General features: G+C 48.6%; 1 long non-coding RNA gene and 1 pseudogene across 2 annotated transcripts, besides 5 other annotated features; one reads left to right on the top strand and one right to left on the bottom strand.

Annotated features, from left to right (window-relative positions):
• Positions 1-675: 675 nt before the first annotated feature.
• On the top strand, positions 676-6,316 carry BTNL10P (butyrophilin like 10, pseudogene; annotated as a pseudogene). Its single transcript, NR_172558.1, has 5 exons — positions 676-956; positions 1,679-1,854; positions 2,033-2,386; positions 3,359-3,640; positions 5,237-6,316. The product of NR_172558.1 is annotated as a butyrophilin like 10, pseudogene (transcript).
• Positions 2,398-2,899: an enhancer, noted in NCBI's record as "H3K4me1 hESC enhancer chr1:228698839-228699340 (GRCh37/hg19 assembly coordinates)". NCBI's record gives its function as "activates a minimal SCP1, AML or CMV promoter by ChIP-STARR-seq in primed H9 embryonic stem cells {active_cell/tissue: H9 hESC(primed)}" and the evidence as "EXISTENCE:reporter gene assay evidence [ECO:0000049][PMID:30033119]".
• LOC105373124 (uncharacterized) lies at positions 3,905-5,990 on the bottom strand. The gene is made up of 3 exons (XR_949233.3): positions 5,915-5,990; positions 5,203-5,336; positions 3,905-4,146 (listed from the first exon to the last, which is right to left on the bottom strand). It is a non-coding gene; the product is annotated as an uncharacterized LOC105373124 (long non-coding RNA).
• Positions 12,775-13,069: an enhancer, noted in NCBI's record as "tiled region #4759; HepG2 Activating DNase unmatched - State 4:PromP, and K562 Activating DNase matched - State 5:Enh". NCBI's record gives its function as "activates a minimal TATA promoter and a strong SV40 promoter by Sharpr-MPRA in HepG2 and K562 cells {active_cell/tissue: HepG2 | K562}" and the evidence as "EXISTENCE:reporter gene assay evidence [ECO:0000049][PMID:27701403]".
• Positions 12,775-13,133: a biological region, named in NCBI's record as "Sharpr-MPRA regulatory region 4759".
• Positions 12,844-12,933: a silencer, noted in NCBI's record as "silent region_1923". NCBI's record gives its function as "represses an Ori minimal core promoter by ATAC-STARR-seq in GM12878 lymphoblastoid cells {active_cell/tissue: GM12878}" and the evidence as "EXISTENCE:reporter gene assay evidence [ECO:0000049][PMID:35858748]".
• Positions 13,034-13,133: an enhancer, noted in NCBI's record as "active region_2697". NCBI's record gives its function as "activates an Ori minimal core promoter by ATAC-STARR-seq in GM12878 lymphoblastoid cells {active_cell/tissue: GM12878}" and the evidence as "EXISTENCE:reporter gene assay evidence [ECO:0000049][PMID:35858748]".

Genomic DNA, 16,042 nt, shown 5'->3' with positions numbered 1-16,042 from the left:
ATTTTTTTAAAAAGGACAAGTGAGTCGAGTTTTAGGTCACGTCATTGTCTGGTAAAAGCAGATCACAGGACGACATAATTCTTACGTGTTGACATATAAAAGGGGGAACAACCGGTTGACCAAAGAGACGCTCCCCCAAGGAGGGACATAGGAGGGACCTGGCACTTGGATTTCCTCACCGCCCGCAGGCACAGGGAGTGCTCAGCCCGTCTGCAGAGTTTGGATAAAGCTCCTCCCTCTAGGAAAGCAAGGACTCCTTTCTCACAAAAACCACCCAGGAAAAGGCCCAGACTTTTGAATCATCAAACAAGAAGGTGAGGAGGGAATAGGCCTTGCGGCTGGGTGCGAGAAATCAGCATGAAGGTTCTAAGCTGGGCCAGGGATGCTACCAGTGAGAACAGACACCCATGACCCCACAGCCACGGAGGGCAGCGAAGGGCTGGGGAAGAGGAGCCCTGAACGTCCCTCTGGGACAATACAGGAATTAGGACATTGCGACATGATCATAAACACCTTTCCTGAAGGACCTGGGCCAGCTAGGCTGGGCCTGCACGCTGCCAGATAACCACAGGCTTTATCTGCATTTGCAGCTCCTTCAGCTGGCCTGGGTCCCACCCTGAGACCCGTCTCCTCCCGGCGGGCTCTATCTCCTGCTCCCCAGCCCTGGGGTGTTCCACACTGGGGATCACACTCTTCAGGAAGCCTTTTTTTTTTTTTCTGCTGCAACTGCCAGAAAGGTACAGTTACATATTTTTGCAAAAAACAAAAGGAAGAATCTCTGGAAACTGGGGGACTTGGCGGCTTTTGCCAGATGTCTAGGTTGCCTTTCACATCACTGCTTGGAGACAGCGTGGTTGGTCTGGGTCACACCCTACCTGGAGTTGGCAGGAAACTAAATTCATTCCCCCAAAGTTGCCAGGACTTCCCAGGGAAGCTGCAGCAGCTCTCGGTGCCAGGTGAGCATTGTCTATGGTCAGGATGTGGTTTGCTCTTCAGTGTCTCTGCTTCCTCCACCCTCTCCCCATCCCCAAGGGCAGAAGGACCACAGGGCCTTCCTGCAATGCAAGAACCAAACAGGACAAGAGCCTGTGCCCACACAACTCCCTAATCACACACGTAAATGCCCAACCTGGATGGCTGTGCTGGGTAGAACCGCCCAAGGTCACAGAACTTTTTACCAACACCTGCTCTCTAAACCAAGGTTACAAGAAATGCTCACAAGAGACTCATGAGGGTCTTGGCCTGCCCATCCCAGCTGAAGAGCTCTGAGGATTGGGCCCAGCCCCCAGCCCCTGACTGTAGAAGTCCCCATGGGGACAGCAGGAAAGCAAGGGACATTAAGGGAATCCCTTGATGTCGTTCTGACCTCGAATTTGCTTAATCCGAGTCTGGGTTTTCTCCCCCAGCATTCTGGAGTTTCATGACAGTCACCAGCTAGAGACTGGGCTACAGCTCTTTATGAGCAATTAGAAAATCAAACCCCTTCCCTCCTGGATGTCCTCGTGGAATTCCGCAGACAGACTAGGGTGAGAGGTGTGTTACCCGCAAGGAGATGGGTACAGGAGCACATGAGGCTTGCTGTGTCTCCATTTATAGCATTAATAACTTGTTTGAGAGTGAGAGTAAATGACCTTTTTCTTCTTTTTCTTCCATGGCACTTTTCCTCTGCACCTGTTAGCTTCCTGGCGGTGGCTCCTCTCCCAGTGACAGTGCGTGGCTCCGGCCTGGCAGGAATGGCAGTGACATGCGATCCAGAGGCCTTCCTGTCCATCTGCTTTGTCACCTTGGTCTTCCTGCAGCTCCCACTGGCCAGCATCTGTCAAAACTGAGGGACAGACTCCTGTGCAAGTCGAGGCAGGTGCCCTGGCATAGGTGGGGGTGTGTCCAGCATGGCGGGAAGCTGAAGCATCTCCCAGCAGCTCAGGGCTCAATAGGTCCCCAAAGCTTCCAAGAAGAGGGAGGGGCAGGGGGGAAGTGCCCTGGCCTCCCAACACATGGCCTAACCCAGCCCTTTCTGATCTGCCTCCCCCAGGGAAAGCTGACTTTGATGTCACTGGGCCTCATGCCCCTATTCTGGCTATGGCTGGGGGACACGTGGAGTTACAGTGCCAGCTGTTCCCCAATATCAGTGCCGAGGACATGGAGCTGAGGTGGTACAGGTGCCAGCCCTCCCTAGCTGTGCACATGCATGAGAGAGGGATGGACATGGATGGAGAGCAAAAGTGGCAGTACAGAGGAAGGACCACCTTCATGAGTGACCACGTGGCCAGGGGCAAGGCCATGGTGAGGAGTCACAGGGTCACCACCTTTGACAACAGGACATACTGCTGCCGCTTCAAGGATGGTGTAAAGTTCGGCGAGGCCACTGTGCAGGTGCAGGTGGCAGGTAAGGCTGGTGGCTAGCTGGCTGTCAGTCTACTTCCAGGCATGGCCTTGGGGCCCAGCGTGTTCAGGTGGAGGGCTTTTCAGTAGGGTGAGAGTGCACTCTCCCAGCTGCCGTGCTGGCCTGCACTGCTCCCGGGAAGCACAGCGGTGAAGGCAGAGCCACCTTCCTCATCTTCCTTTCCCTCCTTACACCAGTGGACTGGAAAGTGAAGGGAAGGGAAAGAGAGAGATGGGGGGAATGAGAGAGACACAGAGAAGAAGAGATAGAATGAGAAAGAAGCAGGGAGAGACAGACAGAGGTGGAAAGAGAGATGGAGAGAAAGACAGAGAGATGAGAGAAAGACAGAGAGAGATGAAGAAAGAATGACAGAATTATAGAGATGGGGAAAGAGAGAGATGGAGAGGGAGGGACAGGCAGAGACAGAGAATGAAAGACAGGAGAGACAGAGATGGAGAGAGACAGAGAGAATGAGAAACTGAGAGAAACACAGAGAGAATGAAAGAGACAAAGAGACAGAGTCAGTGACAGAGAGAGGGAGATAGAGACAGAGACAGAGAGACAGTAAAAGAAAATGAGAAAGACAGTAAGCAACAGAGAGTGGGAGGAAGAGAGAGACAGAGAAATAATGACAGGAGACAGAAAGGCCAAGAGAGAGAAGAGAGTCTTCAGATACGGGAGGTTTCCCGAGTGACTCAGAACTTGTGCTTCGAAACAGACAAGCCTGGGTCCCATCTTGTGCCATGAATTCTACTTCTGCAACACAGGATGCCTATTCAATCTTCCTGGACCTTTTCCACTTTGCTTCCCTTCTTTTGTCTGGGAAATGGGGAACTCTGTTAGGGATGGTGTGTAACACAGGGTAGGCAGTTTGTGAAATTGCCAAAATACATTGGAAATCCTCAAGATTTTGTTTTTCCTTTAAATAGAAGCAGCCATGGCTGCAAAGATTCAAGCTGCTGTCTCTTCCTTCAGGGCTGGGCAGAGAGCCCAGAATCCAGGTGACAGACCAGCAGGATGGAGTCAGGGCGGAGTGCACATCAGCAGGCTGTTTCCCCAAGTCCTGGGTGGAACGGAGAGACTTCAGGGGCCAGGCTAGGCCTGCTGTGACCAATCTATCAGCCTCAGCCACCACCAGGCTCTGGGCTGTGGCATCCAGCTTGACGCTCTGGGACAGGGCTGTGGAGGGTCTCTCCTGCTCCATCTCCAGCCCCCTCCTCCCTGAAAGGAGGAAGGTGGCTGAGAGCCACCTGCCCGGTGAGTCCTCTATTCAGTTCTGTCCTCACAATCACTGAGCACAGGATTCCGTGGCCCTGGACACTGGGGACATTAAGAGACAGCTGTGGGGTTTGTGGCAAGCAGGGATGGGTGGCAGGTCCCTGTCCTCACATGGCTGGGGCATCCCAGGAGGTGCACTGTTTGGGTGCTGATTACTGAAGAGGAACAGAGATAAGGGTGCAGGGACCCTGGGGAGAGCCTTGCCTTTGGGGGAACAAGAAATGTACATCCTAATATCAACAGTTTTTAGGGTTTTTTAAAATAGGCTTTATTTTTTAAAGCAGTTTTAGGGTCACAACAAATTTTAGTAGAAAGTCCAGAGAGTTCCCATCTTCCCCTAACCCCCTCACACACCTTCCCCCAGCATAAAAACCCTACACCAGAAGGAACGTCCACCATGTTTGATGAACTTCCGTTGACAATGCCGTCAGCACCCAGAGTGCAGTTTTCATGAGGGCTCACTCTTGGCATGGTGTCCCATGGTTCTAGATAAATATATAATGCCACATATCTGTCATAGTATCATACAAAATAATGTCACTGCCCTTAATCCTCCGTGCTCCGCTCATTCATTCATCTCCCCTAACTCCTGGCCACCACTGATGTTTTCACTGTCTCCATAGTTTCCAGGTGTTCTGGAATGTCCTGTAGTTGGGACGGTGCCTCTGTAGCCCCTTCACTTTGACTTCCCTCACTTTGTGGTACGCATTTAGGTTTCCTCCATGTCTTTTCCTGCCTTGATAACTTGTTTCTTTTGTGAAATGAATAACGTTCCAGGATCTGGATGGACCACTGTTTATTGATCCATTCACCTACTAAAAAATATCTTGGTTGTTTCCAAATTTAGCTTTTCACAAAAACTTTCACTTTTACTTTTCTAAATGATGTCAAACTTACAGAAACTTTGCAAGATTAATAGAAAAGTTGTCTGTGCACCCTTTACTCAGATTCACCATATTTTTACCTTATTGCGATATTTCTTTTTATCACTTCTCCCTTTGTCTATCTACAAATAGATATCTAATATCTACTTCCTATGCATATGTCTAAACCCAACTGTCTTACTCCATTTGTGTGCCTATAACAAAATACCACAGACCAGGTGGCTTAGAAACAAGAGATAGCTATTGCCCACAGTTTTGTAAGCTGGGAAGTCCAAGATCAAGGCGTGGCAGATTTGGTGTCTGGCAAGGGCACTTCCTGGTTCATAGACAGCGCCTTCTCACTGTGTCCTCACATGGTGGAAGGGGTGAGGGAGCTCTCTGGGCTCTCCCCTTTATAAGGGCACCATTCCCATCATATCCGTTACAGGGGCTCCACCCTCATGACCTCATCACTTCCCAAAGGCCTCACCTCCTAACATCATCACCGTAGGGGTTGGGATTTCAACCCCTTTGGGGGACACAGACATTCGGTCCATAGACCAGCTGTGCAAATACATACTATTTTGGAAACTATTTCACAGTAATTTGCAAATATTATGTCCCTGGACTACTGAACTCTTTAGCAAGTTTGACCTCAGAACACAGAAACTCTCTTACCCCAATATTCCTGGCTTCTGGGAATCTTCTCCAGCTACCTTCTCCAGAAGCTCCCAGTTCACGGCATGGAAAGCAGCTCTGCCTCTGATCCTTGTTGCCATGGGACTCGTAATAGCTGGAGGCATCTGCATCTTCTGGAAACGTCAAAGGGAAAAGAACAAAGCATCACTGGAAGAAGAGAGGGAGTGAAGAGAAAAGGAGCAGAGGCGGCCCACCAGCAGCGACAAGGCTGAGCCATGGCGTGGTGAGCAGGGAGCCCCGACAAGGCACATCCTGCCCCCCCACCCCAAATCCAGGACCCTAACACGAAGCCCTGAGCTGAGGCTTCGTCCATGTGTCCTCAGACACAGTAGGAATGGGGTGGCCAGTGGGGATCCTCCCTCTGGCATTGCCTGATTATGATCTACCCAGTGAGACCATCTGTCTCCTAGCAATCCCTCAATTAAGTCTTCACTGGCTGATTTCAGGCAGGCTGGTTGGGCTCTGTCTTGAAAACAGACAGATCTGAGTTTGAACCCCAAGTCTGATGGGTGTGGGCTGAGGGACCTGGTGTGAGCCCTGAGCCACTCTGTCTGCTGGGAGTGCTGATACCATCCTGAAAGACCAACAGAGTAGCATTCAGAGCAAGGCCGCGTCAGGGAGGGTTTACAGTTGCAATCACTGTGATTATTCTCAATATTGACTGTGTCCTTCATTCATTCACTTCACTCACTTCCTCCTCTGTCATTTCAGGAGCTGAGGACTTGTTCCTAGACTTCAGAGCCCTATTTTGAGAGTAGAGATTGTGCTCAGCTGGTTATAAAGACTGCATTATGACAGAGTTGCTTGTGGTGGCTTGCAGCTGTCATCCAGCATTTTGGGAGGCTGAGGCGGGAAAATTGCTTGAGGCCAGGAGTTTGAGGACACCCTGGGCAATATAGCAAGACCCCATCTCTACAAAAAAATAAAAATAAAGAAATTAGCCAGGCATGGTGGTGTGTGCCTGTTGTCCCAGCTACTCAGGAGGCTGAGGTGGGAAAATCACTCGAGCCCAGGAGTTTAAGGCTACAGTGAGCCATGATTGTGCTACTGCACTCCAGCCTGGGTGACAGAGCCAGATCCTGTCAGACAGATGAAAGAAGAAAGAAGGAAAGAAAGAAAGAAGAAAGAAAGAAAGAAAGAAAGAAAGAAAGAAAGAAAGAAAGAAAGAAAGAAAGACGAAATCTCTCAGCATTTGCTTGTCTGTAAAGGATTTTATTTCTCCTTCACTTATGAAGCTTAGTTTGGCTGGATATGAAATTCTGGGTGGAAAATTCTTTTCTTTAAGAATGTTGAATAGTGGCCCCCACTCTCTTCTGGCTTGTAGAGTTTCTGCCGAGAGATCAGCTGTTAGTCTGATGGGCTTCCCTTTGTGGGTAACCCGACTTTTCTCTCTGGCTGCCCTTAACATTTTTTCCTTCATTTCAACTTTGGTGAATCTGACAATTATGTGTCTTGGAGTTGCTGTTCTCGAGGAGTATCTTTGTGGCGTTCTCTGTATTTCCTGAATCTGAATGTTGGCCTGCCTTGCTAGGTTGGGGAAGTTCTCCTGGATAATATCCTGTAGAGTGTTTTCCAACTTGGTTCCATTCTCCCCATCACTTTCAGGTACACCAATCAGACGTAGATTTGGTCTTTTCACATAGTCCCATATTTCTTGGAGGCTTTGTTCGTTTCTTTTTATTCTTTTTTCTCTAAACTTCCCTTCTTGCTTCATTTCATTCATTTCATCTTCCATCACTGATACCCTTTCTTCCAGTTGATGGCATCGGCTCCTGAGGCTTCTGCATTCTTCACTTAGTTCTCGAGCCTTGGCTTTCAGCTCCATCAGCTCTTTTAAGGACTTCCCTGCATTGGTTATTCTAGTTATACATTCATCTAATTTTTTTTCACAGTTTTTAACTTCTTTGCCATTGTTTTGAATTTCCTCCTGTAGCTCAGAGTAGTTTGATCGTCTGGAGACTTCTTCTCTCACCTCGTCAAAGTCATTCTCTGTCCAGCTTTGTTCCGTTGCTGGTGAGAAGCTGCGTTCCTTTGGAGGAGGAGAGGCACTCTGCTTTTTGGAGTTTCCAGTTTTTCTGCTCTGTTTTTCCTCCATCTTTGTGGTATTATCTACTTTTGGTCTTTGATGGTGGTGATGTACAGATGGGTTTTTGGTGTGGATGTCCTTTCTGTTTGTTAGTTTTCCTTCCAACAGACAGGACCCTCAGCTGCAGGTCTGTTGGAGTTTGCTAGAGGTCCACTCCAGACCCTGTTTGCTTGGGTGTCAGCAGAGGTGGCTGCAGAACAGTGGTGGCTGTAGAACAGCGGATATTGGTGAACAGCAAGTGTTGCTGCCTGATGGTTCCTCTGGATGTTTTGTCCCAGAGGAGTACCCAGCCGTGTGAGGTGTCAGTCTGCCCCTACTGGGGGGTGCCTCCCAGTTAGGCTACTTGGGGGTCAGGGACCCACTTGAGGAGGCAGTCTGCCCGTTCTCAGATCTCCAGCTGCGTGCTGGGAGAACCACTACTCTCTTCAAAGCTGTCAGACAGGGACACTTAAGTCTGCAGAGGTTACTGCTGTCTTTTTGTTTGTCTGTGCCCTGCCCCGAGAGGTGGAGCCTACAGAGGCAGGCAGGCCTCCTTGAGCTGTGGTGGGCTCCACCCAGTTCGAGCTTCCAGGCTGCTTTGTTTACCTAATCAAGCCTGGGCAATGGCAGGTGCCCCTCCCCCAGCCTCGCTGCTGCCTTGCAGTTTGATCTCAGACTGCTGTGCTAGCAATCAGCGAGACTCCGTGGGCATAGGACCCTCTGAGCCAGGTGCGGGATATAATCTCCTCGTGTGCCGTTTGTTAAGCCTGTTGGAAAAGCGCAGTATTAGGGTGGGAGTGACCCGATTTTCCAGGTGCCGTCTGTCACCCCTTTCTTTGACTAGGAAAGGGAACTCCCTGACCGCTTGTGCTTCCTGAGTGAGGCAATCCCTCGCCCTGCTTTGGCTCGCGCACGGTGTGCTGCACCCACTGTCCTGCACCCACTGTCTGGCACTCCCTAGTGAGATGAACCCAGTACCTCAGATGGAAATGCAGAAATCACCCGTCTTCTGCGTCGCTCACGCTGGGAGCTGTAGACCGGAGCTGTTCCTATTTGGCCATCTTGGCTCCACCTCCCACCCCAGACTGCCCAGGATGCATAGTGAACTCACTGCCTCAGGATGCATAGTGAGTGACCAACCCCAAATCCAGCCTGGATCTCACCCCGTAAGGATGAAATTACAACTGCAGTAATGACCTCTGGAGGGCACATGCAAAGGCCACTGCTCCTTCATTCTAACCTCACAGAAAGCTTGCAGAAGAGCAATAGGGTCCCCTGCACAGATGGAGGGCCTAAGAAGCATTAGACTAGCTCGGGGCCCAACTCTGGGACCCCCAAATCCACCAGTTTCCCCTGCAGTTCCATCTGCAGCCAGCCATTCTGCTAGGTGTAATTCCATGGCTGACACATCTCCATCCTATAACAGTTTCCCATTCTCTGTGCTCTGGTTGGGATTCTTTTAAGCAGCACTTTCCTTGTGAACTGTATAATGAAATGTTCTATGTCTCAATGGACATCTGTGTGTGCATGTGCATATGTGTACATATGCATACAAAAAAAGTGGAGAGCAATTCTTGTTCTATTTTATGCATTCTCATTGGGAATGACATGCCTCCCCAGGGGGTGAGAATTCGTTCTCAGGGGCTAAAGGCATCACAGTGGCTGGCAGCCTCTGAAGAACCTGGCACATAAACAGATACACAGTACCTGTGCTGTGGAAGCTGCAGGGTCGTGGTGACAATGAGGAAAAAAAAGTCTTAAAAGGCTCCTTCTGGGGGGCATAGTGAAATGAAGTTTGAGAAACTCTCTTCTCTCCTCACTTCTTTGCTGTTGTGAGACTAAACTGGAATTAGTGTTTCTCAGTGTGGATTCTAAGAACCTTAGAGCAGGGTCCTGTCCTGCAGATTTCTGGGCCCCAGTGCAGACTTAGGAAGTCAGTTCCATGGAGTGGCAGGAATGTGCATTTTTAATCAGCTCTTCTATCCATTTCCTAGAGCTGCCTAACACAGCACTGCACACTGAGTGGCTCAGACAACAGGCATTTATTTCTTTCCTTGATCTGGAAGTCCAAGATCAAGGTGTAGACAGCATTGGTTCACCCTCAGGCCTCGCTCCATGGCTACCAGATAGTCCTCTCCTCCCAGTGTCCTCACATGGTCCTCCCTCTGGGTGTCTCTGCATCCTAATCTCCTCTTGTTATAAGGATACCAGTCCTACTGGATCAGGGCCCACCCCAATAAACTTACTTAACCTTAATTACTTCTCAAAAGACCCTATCTCCAAATATCATAGTCCTCCTCACCCACAGTTTCAGTTACCCATGGTCCACTGTAGTTATTTTTGTTAAGATATTTTGCAGGACAGAAAGACCATATTCACATAACTTTTATTACAGTATATTATCATAATCATTCTAGTTTATTTACCTTTTTCAAATTTTTATATATTTTTTACACACAACATCTCACTTTGTTGCCCAGGCTGGTCTCTACCTCCTTGGCTCAAGTGATCCTCCTGCCTCAACCTCCCAAGTAGATGAAACTACAGGCAGGCACCACCACACCCCACTAATTTTATTATTAGTTATTGTTATTAATCTCTTACTGTGCCAAATGTATAAACTTTACCATAGCTATGTATGTATGGGAAAAAGCACAGGCTGTGTAGGATTGGGTACTATCCTCAGTTTCAGGCATCCACTGGGGGTCATGGAATGTATCCCCCAAGGACAAGGGGGGCTTATTAGAGTCACACTCTGAGGTCCTGGGGTTAGAACTTCAACAGATGACTGGGGGGCAGGGGATACAAAATGGAACCCATAACAATTCTCAAAATGCTTTTTCCTCAAACCTGAAAGTGTAAAACCTGCTCTGAGGGGTGGGGAGAAAGACCCCATCACCTGCTAGGATGAGCAGAGCGTGGGGCGATGCAGTCATTCCCTCACTGAAGACATTTATGGGGCACCTCCCTATGCACCAGACAGGAAGGAAGGAATTACAGAAACAAAACCTCACAAATATATACAATTATTACGTGTTAATTAAAAATATATGTAAAGCAAAAATAAAATCCAGAGAAAAGGAAGGGGGAGCGTTTGGTGGTGTTGGGGCCAGGAACCTCCCCAGGTAGCCTATGGCATCACACAGTAAAGGGCAACCCCAGTGGCACATGGCCCACCCCGGGAGCCAGGGCTGCAGGTTCCCTCATCCCAAAAGTGCTCGCAGGGAGCCAGCTGCCTCTGTAGCTCCATTCACCTCTACTGCGCTATCTACTGCAGTTAATCCACTTCCTCGGTCCAGCCGCCACCCCCACATCTCTCTTAAGGGCACAGGGGTCCTCCAGTGGGCTTCAGTCCTGACTTTGCAGCCTCTAGCTGTGGGATGCGGGGCTGCTTAATGTCCCTGAGCCTCCATCTCCTCACCTATAACATGGATATATGACGCACATACACACTTCTCAACAGATGGCCTCCAAGAGGATTGAAGTTAAGACACCCCGCAGAGAGGACTAAATGGTAACCCTCCAAAATGACACTTCTGTGAATTTACAAAAGTGATCCAATTTGAAAAACAGGACTTCCTGTTTGCAGACTTGATTAGGAATCTTGGATTGAGATAATCCTGGATTTCAGGTGGGCCCTAAATCCAGTCACTGGGGTTACAATCTGAATGTTTGTGTCCCACTCTCCAAATTTATATATTGAAATCTTTACCCCCAAGGTGATGGTATTAGGAGGTGGGGCCTTTGGGAGGTGACTGGGTCATGAAAGTGGAGCCTCACAAATGGGATTAGTTTCCTTATGAGAGGGACCTGTCAATAGGGGAAAATGACGAGACAAGTCTCAATCACCTTAGAAAATGTATTTGCCAAAGTTAAGGATGAGCCTAGGAGACAGGTCTATGCCTTTCTCTAAAGATGATTTTGAGGGCTCAAAATTTACAGGGGAAAGGGCGGGATATAGATTAGACAAACCGCACTCTGGCACAGCCAATGAGGCTCCTGAGCTGCAAAGTCCTTCAGCCCATTGGTGGGTGCAGTATCCACAGCCCTGTGCTTGCCAGACAGCCTCTGCAGCTGTAGATAGCTCTGTGTTCAGTGACCCCACTCTCCTGCAGCAGAACGAGACTTGGGGACATCCTACCACCAACAGCAATTGGATGGGCAGTCTATCCACAGGTTTCCAAAAAGGTAAGCCCGGTTCTCAGGAATGGCAATAGCCTGTTGCCCTGCCCCCACTCTTCTGCACGTTGCATCTTGGAAGAAGTTGCATTTGCATTTAGGAATCAATCGTCAGCAAAATGGGCTCTTCCTGGAGTTCTCTGATCCATGCACACATACACACAACCTAGGGCACCACCATGTGCAAATCCCATGTGCACATCTCTTGTCAAGGGCACCCCATGTGCAGGCCCTTGTAGCAGAACAATTTTTACTCAGTTCAGTTACCACTGAGGCCTCCACCATATTCACCTTTCCACATCCTCAGCAGTGAGGACCTGTCACCACAGCAACCAATGGCTCTGTAACCATCCCATGCCTGTGCCCTCATGGAACCCTGTGGGCATCTCTTTGGCATAACAGCCCAGGGGTGGAACTGATGCAATACATAGTATCCCAGTCCATGTGGACAGCCTGGGCAGCTTAGAAACCACCAAAGTGTGCTGCTCACAGCTCTGGAGGCCGGAAGTCCAAGATCAAGCCACCAGCATATCCAGTGGCTGGTGAGGTCAATTCCTTGTTCATAGACAGCACCTTCTCACTGAGTCCTCACATGGTGTAAGAGATGAGGGAGTTCTCTGGGGTCCCTTTTATAAGGGCAGTAATCCCATTCATGAACTCATCACCTCCAAATGCTCCATGTCATAACACCATCATCTTGAAGGTGAGGATTTCAACGTACTAATGTGGAGGGTGGGACACCTTCAGACCACAGTGTGGGCATGCAAACTGCATAGTCCACAACTGAGCTGTTCCCAAGAACACCCCCCTGCCCTTGCACTCTGCTGCTGGGAAGTGACCTCAAAGCCCTTGGGATGCCATGCCTGACAGGAGGGTCTTTGTTTGCCTGGTGGCCTTGGGTCACACTGGACAGTCCCATAATGTGGTTTAGGGTAGGTTGGCTGCACTGAAGAGAACACTGTGACATGGGGGCGGGAGTCCCTGAGCCAAGTCCAGCGGCAGCAATGTGATGTGCGGTAGGGGCCCTTTGAGTCCTGCAGTTCGACTTCCTCTGAGGCTGGAGACTAAGACTGGCCATGTGGGAAGTCAGCTATCCCTAGGTGCTGGATGCCAGAAGAGACCCAGGATTCTAAGGCTGGGCAGTGTCCCTGGTTGGCAGAACTCCCCGTGCAGTCACACAGGGTGCCCGGAAGGTAGCACAGCCCAGACACCACGGGGACAGGACAGTCGAAGCTCTGTTACCTCTCCCGGACTCCCCCATGGGTTTCCTCCCTTGGCTGACTTAAAGTTGTCTCCGTTCCCCATAATAAACTGTAACGGAAAGCGTAGCAGCTTTCAGTGGGTTCTGGGGGCTTTTCTAGTGAGTTATAGAACCGGAGGTGGTTTTGGGAACAACTCACCCGACAGACATGCCGCTGGTGTGAGAAACAAGCCCGGTGTTGGGGACTGGCTCCCCCTAGCGTCCGGTTGGTCTAACTGCCTTTCATATACAGCCTATACCTCATGTTACTGCGCTTCGCATACTGCATTTGTTAAAAATTGAAGGTGGGTGGCAACCATGCGTTGAGCAAGCTGACCTGTGGCATTTTCGCAGCAGCATGTGCTCACTTGGTGTCTGTGTCTCATTTTGGTAACTCCTGCAATATTTCAAGCTTTTTTGTTATTGTTCCTTTTGTTCTGGTGATCTGTGATCAGGGATCTTTCATGTTACCGTTGAAATTCTTTAGGGATGCCAAGAACTGCGTCCATACAAGGCAGCAAACTTAATGGAAAAATGGCATGTACATCCTCACTGCTCGCCAGACCAGCCATTCCCCTGCCTCTCTCTCTCCCCCCAGGCCTCCCTATCCCCTGGCACACAACAATACTGAAATTGGGCCAATTAATGACCCTATAATGGCCCCTAAGTGTTGAAGTGAAAGGAAGAGTCACACACCTCTCACTTTAAGGCAAAGGCTAGAGATGATCAATCTTAGTGAGGAAGGCACATCCAAAGCAGAAAGATGCTACTTGTGCCAAAGTCAGCCAAGCTGTGAATGCAAAGGAGAAGTTCTTGAAGGAAACTGAAAGTACTCCAGTGAACACACGAATGATAAAAAAGCGAAAGTCTTATTGCAGATATGCAGAAAGTGTGCACGGTCTGAATAGAAAATCAAACCAGCCACAACATTTCCTTAATCCAAAGCCTAATCCAGAGCAAGATCCTCTCTTCAATTCTATGAAGGTTGAGAGAAGCGAGGAAGCTGCAGAAGAAAAGCTTGAAGCTGGCGGGGGTTGGTTCATGCGGTTTAAAAAAAGAAGCCATCACTGTAACATAAAAATGCAAGGAGAAGCAGCAAGAGCTGATGAAGGCGCTGCAGCAAGTTCTCCAGCAGATCCAGCTAAGATCACTGATGAAGGGGGCCACACTAACAACGGATTTTCAATGCACACAAAACAGCCTTCTATTAGAAGCAGATGCCATCCAGAACTCTCATAGCTAGAAAGAAGCCAATGCCTGGCTCCAAAGCTTCAAAGGACAGGGTGACTCTCTTGTTAGGGGCTCATGCAGCTAGCGACTTCAAATTAAAGCCAATGCTCATTCACCAATTACAACAATTCTAAGGCCCTTAGGAATTATGTTCAATCTACTCTACCTGTGCTGTATAAATGAAACAACAAAGCCTACATGACAGCACATCTGTTTACTGCATGGTTTACTATTTTAAGTCCATTAAAATATTAAAATAGCCATTAACACAACATTCAAGTCTTATTAACTTTCAAGTTAACTTCCATAATTAACTTTCAAGTCTTATTATTTAAGACATTTCATAAGGCTACAGCTGCCTTAGACAATGATTCCTCTGATGGATCTGGGAGAAAATTTTTAAAAACCTGCTGGAAAGGATTCACCATTCTAGATGCCTTAAGAACATTCATGATTCATGGGAGGAGGTCAAAACAGCAACATGAACAGGAGTTTGGAAGATGTTGATTCCAGCCCTCATGGATGACTCTGAGCGATCCCGGACTTCAGGGGAGGAAGTCACTGCAGATGTGGTGGAAACAGCAAGAGAACGAGAATTGGAAGTGGAGCCTGGAGATGGGACTGAATTGCTGCAGTCTCATGAGAAAACATGAATGGATGACAAGTTGCTTCTTATGGATGAACAAAGGAAGTGTTTTCTTGAGATGGAATCTACTTCTGGTGAAGATGCTGTGCACACGGTTGAAATGACAACAAAGGATTTAGAATTGACATCAACTTAGTTGATAAAGCAGTGGCAGGGTTTGAGAAGAGTGACTCTAATTTTTAAAGATGTTATGTGGGTAAACTGCTATCAAACAGCAACACATGCTACAGAGAAGTCTTTTGAATGGAAGTCAATTGATGTGACAAACTTCATTGTCTTATTTTAAGAAATTGCCACAGCAACCCCAAACTCCAGCAGCCACCACCCTAATTAGTCAGCAGCCACCAACATTGAGGCAAGACCCTCCCCCAGCAAAAAGATGGCAATTCACTGAACACTCAGATGATCATTAGCATTTTTTAGCAACAAAGTATTTTAAAATTAAGGTACATACATTGGCTTTTTTAGACATAATGCTACTGCATACTTAGTAGACTACATTACAGCCTATAAAAGCATTTTATATGCACTTGGAAACCAAACATTTCATGGGACTTGCTTTATTGCAGTATTTGCTGTATTGCAATGGTCTAGAAGCAAACCCATGGTTTCTCCAAGGTATGCCTTTTAGTTTGACCCCAGACTGCACTCCAAAGCAGCGGCCTTATTCTACACTCCTCACAGCACCTCTGGGCTCACCTAATGTGCCATCATCACTCAGACTTCAACATCACCTAGTGCTGCAGTTCCCACCACCCGCCCGAACCACCCCCGCCCCAACCCACCCCGAGCTAAAGCAGTATCTCATTATGGTTTTAATTATGATTCTCCAGTTACTAAATAGTTTAAGCATCTCCTTATATTTTGCTGCTGTCAACCTCATGAAATAATAGCTACTCAGTTAGGTAATGTAGAAGGTAAAATGGCCCCAAGCATTTTTATCTCCTCTCTTTGGCCACAGGATCCTGAAACTGAAAACGACCTTTGGGTCCCAACTATCCACGGCTTTCCCACAAAGCTCTGAAAATAAGAGTTGAGAAAAAAGTATTGAGCTACTGGACAAATACATCAGTGTCTTGAGAATGTGTCCCCTACCTTCCAGCAAACAAACTGTTGCTTTTCTATGCAGTGCCTGGCCTCAGTTTCCTTCCACATGTCACCCACAGCCAGCCTCGGAGATCCTCCTGCCTAGGGCTGCCCTTGACCAGAGAGATCTGGTTGCAGCAAAGCCACAGGGACACCAGTGGCTCCTCAGAGCTTGCGTGGTCAAGGGCTGAGGAAGGGCGTCTGTTTCAAGCCATTTCTATAAAACACCCTGTGGGAGCAGACCTGAAGGAGAGGGGCAACCGCCACACAGGTATGGGGGAGAAATGTTCCCTGGAGATCAGAGGCCGAGGCAGGGCCCACCTGGCTTGCTGAAGAACAGAGAGGCCATCATGCTGGGTCTGCAGGGAGCAGG

The sequence above is a fragment of the Homo sapiens genome, chromosome 1, assembly GCF_000001405.40.
Source record: "Homo sapiens chromosome 1, GRCh38.p14 Primary Assembly".
NCBI lineage: Eukaryota > Metazoa > Chordata > Mammalia > Primates > Hominidae > Homo > Homo sapiens.
This window is presented reverse-complemented; position numbering and strand designations above follow the sequence as displayed.